The 6335-nt window shown below is 47.1% G+C and overlaps 1 annotated feature.

The window, feature by feature from the left end:
• Positions 1638–1853: a silencer, noted in NCBI's record as "fragment chr12:121185508-121185723 (GRCh37/hg19 assembly coordinates)". NCBI's record gives its function as "represses an EF-1alpha promoter that drives an FKBP-Casp9 reporter gene in an ReSE screen in K562 erythroleukemia cells {active_cell/tissue: K562}" and the evidence as "EXISTENCE:reporter gene assay evidence [ECO:0000049][PMID:32094911]".

Genomic DNA, 6335 nt, shown 5'->3' with positions numbered 1-6335 from the left:
CCCACATCAAGGTGTTCTGGTGTTCTGGTCAGTAGGTGGCATAAATAGATCCCAGCCCAGCGTGGTGGCTCCATTGCTAAAGATCTGATCAGTGGTGACCTGGGAATGTCCTGGAGGAGGGAATGCTGTGGCAGCTGTGATGATGCAGAATTTGAAGGCTATCCAGGGTGGAGGTGGGACAATGCCAGGGAAAGTGCCGAGGTGGCTGCTCACTGCTCAATCGTCCTGATGCTCTATCTGCAGCAAGTGAGAAACTGAGAACTGTGAACAAGCAGTTCACGGCTAAGTGTGAGCACCAGAGAGCCTTGGTATCGAGGAGTGTAAAAAAAGGCTTTTTTTTTTTTTTTTTTGAGACAGAGTCTTGCTCTGTCGCCCAGGCTGGAGTGCAGCGGCACCATACCATTCCACTGCACCCTCCGCCTCCGCCTTCCGGGTTCAAGCGATTCTCCAGCCTCAGCCTCCCAAGTAGCTGGGATTACAGGCGTGCACCACCACGCCCGGATAATTTTTGTATTTTTAGTAGAGTCAGGGTTTCACCATGTTGGCCAGGCTGGTCTCGAACTCCTGACCTCAGGTAATCTACCCACCTGGGCCTCCCAAAGTGCTGGGATTACAGGTGTGAGTCACCATGCCCGGCCTGAGTGGATAATCTATTGAAAGAACTAACGAAGTTCTTCAACATAACCAGATAAACAGAAATAAAAACGAAATATGTCAGCAATAAACAATTTTTTTTAATAGTGGGTGACTTCTGGTTTGCCCCAAGGTGGTGAACTAGCATATAGGTTGTTGGCTTCCTGCCTTAGCCAAAGCCTGAGTGCTATAGAGATTAAAGGAAAGCATATTGATTCAGGGAACTAAAGATCAGAAGAAAATTCTAGGGAGAGAAGGCGGTTGTGAGCAAATGTAGAGGGGAGCACAGCAGACCTGAGTGAGGCAGAGCTGGGGGCTATGGCGGATGAATCGGGACCCCTTCCTACTTCAGTTATTAACTAGAAGGATTCACATGACCTGATGAGGTTATATCACAGCTAAGGTTGACTAAGCGAAGGATACACCACGGGACCAGAGAGAAAGATACACATAGACAAAGTCCAGGGAGGCCGAGAGCAGGCTGCACGGTGTGTTTCTTTCCAGGTGTGAACCACAGAGATGTGAGATGTCTCTGCCCAGGGAAACACCCAGGTCTCAAAACCTGTTGTTCTAAGAAGATGGTCACATAGGCACTTTCCTGCCACATGACCAGCCATGGTAACCAAAACACAGCACTCCAAAACAGAGGCCAGACGCACATCCTAAGTTTTTTTTTTTTTTTTTTTTTTTTGAGACAGAGTCTGTCTCTGTCCCCCAGGCTGGAGTGCAGTGGCACGATCTTGGCTCACTGCAAGCTCCGCCTCCTGGGTTCACGCCATTCTCCTGCCTCAGCCTCCCACCCCCGGCCCCGAGTAGCTGGGACTACAGGCGCCCGCCACCACACCCACCTAATTTTTTGTTTTTGTTTTTAGTAGAGACGGGGGTTTCACCGTGTTAGCCAGGATGGTCTCGATCTCCTGATCTTGTGATCCGCCCGCCTCGGCCTCCGAAAGTGCTGGGATTACAGGCGTGAGCCACCGCGCCCGGCCGCACATCCTAAATCTTGATGTTAAACATTCTGACATCTGACAGGCTGCTCATCCTGCCCCAGTGCACCAGGCCTACAGATTAACATTCATCAGTAACTACATGCACCTTCCAAGAGTTTCCTTCTCAGCTTGTCCCAGGTCAGTGCCATAGCTCCAGGCACTCCCAGAGAGCAGCAAAGACTGAGTAAGCCAGGCCTGCTCACAACAGAAACGCAGACTGTGGAAACCCTTGGCCTTTCCTCTTGCCTCTTTTAGAACTCTCAATAGAGCCATCTGGGCCAGATACCGTGTTTTTTTTTTTTTATTAAAAAAAAAAATACTGAGCTGGAAGCATTAATGTCCACCTATTTTAAGTGTACAGCCTTCGTGACTCTTTCCACATGACTATACCTGAACCACCACCACTCGGATCAGAATATAAAACCTTTCCAGCACCCAGCAAGCTTCTCTTGTGCCTCTTGTCAGTGGCCCCCAAGGTAACCACTGTTCTAATTTCAGTCACCACAGATTAGTTTTGCTTGCATTTGAAATTCATGTAATACAGTGAATACATTATGAAGTCTTGACTATAAACTTTTTTGAGACAGAGTCTCGCTCTGTCCCCCAGGCTGGAGTACAGTGGTGCAATCTCGGCTCACTGCAACCTCCGCCTCCCGGGTTCAAGCGATTCTCCTGACTCAGCCTCCTGAGTAGCTGGGATTACAGACATACGCCACCACGCCCAGCTAATTTTTGTTATTTTTAGTAGAGACAGGGTTTCACTCTGTTAGCCAGGATGGTCTTGATCTCCTAACCTCATGACCCGCCTGCCTCGGACTCCCAAAGTGCTGGGATTACAGGCGTGAGCCACCATGTCTGGCCTACCTTTTTTTAAATTTAACTTTGTTTGCTTGTTTTGAGATGGGGGTCTCCTTATGTTTCCCAGGTTGGTCTCCAACTGCTGGAGCATCCTCAAGCAATCCTCCTACCTCAGCCTCCAAGTAGCCAGGGTTATAGGTGCACGCCACTGTGCCCAGCTTTGAGCCTAACCTTTTTTGCTTAATGTTACATTTGTAAGATTCAGCCATGTTAGCAATTTATGGTCAGTAGTTCATTCTTTTTTATAGTTGTATGTATGCTCATTGTTGGAATACAGCATTTCTCCTCAATAATTGTACCAATTTACCCTTCCGCCTGCTCTGAGAGGCAATTCCAGTTGAGTTACATTTCCACTGACTCTGTTAGGAGATGCCTTTTGTGGGGACAAATGTTTAACTCCTTTTCAATTTGTTCTAGTCTTACTGGTCTGTTTTTTGTGTTTGTTTGTTTTTTCTGCCTTCTCTAGAATCAATTCTGTGTATTTGTTTTCCTGGAAGATAAATCATTTATGTAGATTTTAAATTTCATCAGCATGAGTATGATAGTTTTTTTTTTTGTTTGTTTTGTTTTTTGAGACGGAGTCTTGCTCTGTCGCCCAGGCTGGAGTACAGTGGCACTATCTCGGCTCACTGCAACCTCTGCCTCCCTGGTGCAAGCGACTCTCCTGCCTCAGCCTCCTGAGTAGCTGGGACTACAGGTGCATGCCACCATGCCCAGCTAATTTTTGTATTTTTAGTAGAGATGAGGTTTCACCATGTTGGCCAGGCTGGTCTCAATCTCTTGACCTCGTGATCCTCCCACCTCAGCCTCTCAAAGTGCTGGAATTACAGGCGTGAGCCACCGCGCCCGGCTGAGTATGATAGGTTTTGGTATGCCATGTTTTCATTTTGTGTATTAAATATAAAATACACAAAAATCAAATTGTATTAAAATCTCGTACCAAAAACATGAGTCCCCTGACTCGCCCGTCTCACTTCCTCGGACTCTTTTAGTATTTATATGTTTATCTTTTTTTTTTTAAGATGGGGCCTTGCTATGTTGCTAATGCTCACGTGAGCGTGGAAGGGAACGGAGTTTCAGATGAGACTGCAGTCCCTTGCTTTCAGTTTGTGAGACCCTGGACAGAGCATCCAGCTAAGCCACGCCCAGACTCCTGAACCATGAAAACTATGAGATGGGTTTGTTTTTTTGGTTTTTTTTTTTTTTTGGTTTTTTGACAGGGCCTTGCTCTGCTGCCCAGGCTGGAGTGCAGTGGTGTAATCTCAGCTCGCTGTAGCCTCGAACTCCTGGGTTCATGTGATCCTCCTAATTTAACCTCCCAAGTAGCTGGGAGTACAGGCATGCATCACTGAGCCTGGCTAATTTTTTTTTTTTTGTAGAGACAGGGTCTCACTATGTTGCCTAGGCTGGTCTTGCATCCCTGGCCTCAGGTGATCTTCCCTCCTTGGCCTCCTGTGTAGCTAGGACTCTAGATATGCGGCACTGCGTCCAGCTAATTTATTTTTTATTTTTTGTAGAGATGGGCTCTCCCTGTGTTGCCCAGGCTGCTCTTGAACTCCTGGGCTCAAGCCATCCTCCCACCTCGGCCTCCCGAAGAGCTGAGATTACAGGGCTGAGCTGCTGTGCCTGGCCCTTTAAGATGGGTATTTCTTCAAGCCACTAAGCGTGTAGTGATGTGTTGCTAGAGTAGAAAACCAATACCAGTGTAGCGTCGCTTTCTCATCAGCTCCAGCCTGTCCCCAGCTGGGTGACACTGGGCTTCGACCGCAGTCATGGGCCCGGCAGCCAGGAGAGGAGGTGAGGGCCGCTGCAGAGGGGCACCTGTGGCCTTGTTGGGAGCGGCTTCCGCAGACTCTTCCAGTAGCAGAAGCCCTCACCTTCCTATGGAGAGGCAGCCACCCTCTGCACCCTGGAGAGTTTGGGCTGGAGAGCAGCATCAGGGGCATCCGTTCAGATGGCTCCGTTTTCCGGATGCCAGGTTTTCCTTCCCACGCCCCTGCCCTTGGCCTAAGCAATCTGCCGGGGCTGAGTCTTCAGGCTCTGGAGCTCTGCAAATTCCTGTTAGGTCTCTGGCCTGCCTGCACCATGTCTGCCCTTCTGCTACACATAAGAGCCTTTTTTTTTTTTAACCTGATACACAATAATTGTACATATTTATGGGGTACGTGTGATATTTTGATCCATGCATAAAATGTTTAATGATCAAATCAGGGTAACTGGGTATCCATCACCTCAAACATCTATCGCTTCTTTGTGTTGAGAACATACTAAATCTTCTAGTTGTTTTGAAATATACAAAAAATACTGATAACAATAATCACCATATTGTGTGAACACTAGAACGTATTCCTTCTACTAAACTGTATTTTTTAAAATTTTCTTTTCCTAAGATGAGTCTTGCTCTGTTGCCCAGGCTGGAGTGCAGTGGCACAATCTCCACTCACTGCAACCTCCACCTCCCAGGTTCAAGCGATTCTCCTGCCTCAGTCTCCCGAGTAGCTGGGATTACAGGCGCACACCACCATGCCTGGCTAATTTTGTATTTTTAGTAGAGATGGGGTTTTGCCATGTTGGCCAGGCTGTTCTCGAACTCCTGACCTCAGGTGATCCACCCGCCTCCGCCTCCCAAAGTGCTGGGATTACAGGCGTGAGCCACCGCACCTGGCTGAACCCATTTTTTAAAAGGGAAGGCTGGGTGCGGTGCGTTACGCCTGTAATCCCAACACTTTGGGAGGCCAAGGCGGGCCGATCATGAGTTCAGGAGATCGAGACCATCCTGGCTAACACGGTGAAACTCCGTCTCTACTAAAAATACAAAAAATTAGCCGGGTGTGGTGGTGGGTGCCTGTAGTCCCAGCTACTCCGGAGGCTGAGGCAGGAGAATGGCGTGAACCCAGGAGGTGGAGCTTGCAGTGAGCCAAGATCACACCACTGCACTCCAGCCTGGGCTACAGAGCGAGACTCTGTCTCAAAAAAAAATAATAAATAAAGGGAAAACCACACACTGTATGAGTCCTTTTGCAACCAGATATCTGACAAATGATTAGTATCAAGAGTAAACACGTGGGACAATTACAAATCAATTACAACCCAAAGAAGAAACAGACAATAGCAATTCACAGCAGAAACCAGAATGACCAATCACCACGTGAAAAGACGTGCAGTTTCTCAAGAAACCAGGGAGATGCAAGTTAAAATCACAACCATATTGAAGAACGTTTGTAAAATCTGTGGGTGCCAAGGAACGGGGAGAATGCGCGTCATCAACCCTCGCATATGCATAGAGGGTGATCCGACCACTGATCCAACCTCTGGAGGGCCATTTGGCAATATCTGGCGAAGCTGAAGAAATAAACAGCCTTAAGGCCCAGCAAGCCCACTTCGATTTAAATGCTCACAAGTTCTCACATTAGAAAAACACACATGCCAGAATGTCCACTGCATCATGGTTTATAGAGTAAAAAGCAGGAAACTACCTCAATATAGTTTATCCCATGGGACACCATGCAGCCATCCACATAAATGAACTAGAACTTCACGTATCAACATGGAAAAACCAAATTGCTAATATTCAATCTTCATAAAAAGTAACTTAGTGCCGTGAAGCACATCTCAACAGATTTCAAAAAATTCAAATAGTGCAGAAAATGTGCTGAGACCACAATGCAATTAAGGTAAAAACCAGCAACAGTAGGTATGGAGTTTCCTGCTGGGGTGATGAGAATGTTCTGGAACTAGATGGTGGCAATGGTTGCATAACATGATGAATGTCCTAATGCCACTGAGTGTACACTTGAAAATGGTTAAAACTGTAAACTCCGTCACAGTTTTTAAAAATCATTAACAAAAAATACC

Source organism: Homo sapiens, chromosome 12 (genome assembly GCF_000001405.40).
Source record: "Homo sapiens chromosome 12, GRCh38.p14 Primary Assembly".
Lineage (NCBI taxonomy): Eukaryota > Metazoa > Chordata > Mammalia > Primates > Hominidae > Homo > Homo sapiens.
Note: the sequence above shows the minus strand (reverse complement) of the source record. Positions and strands in the feature narration are given on the sequence as shown.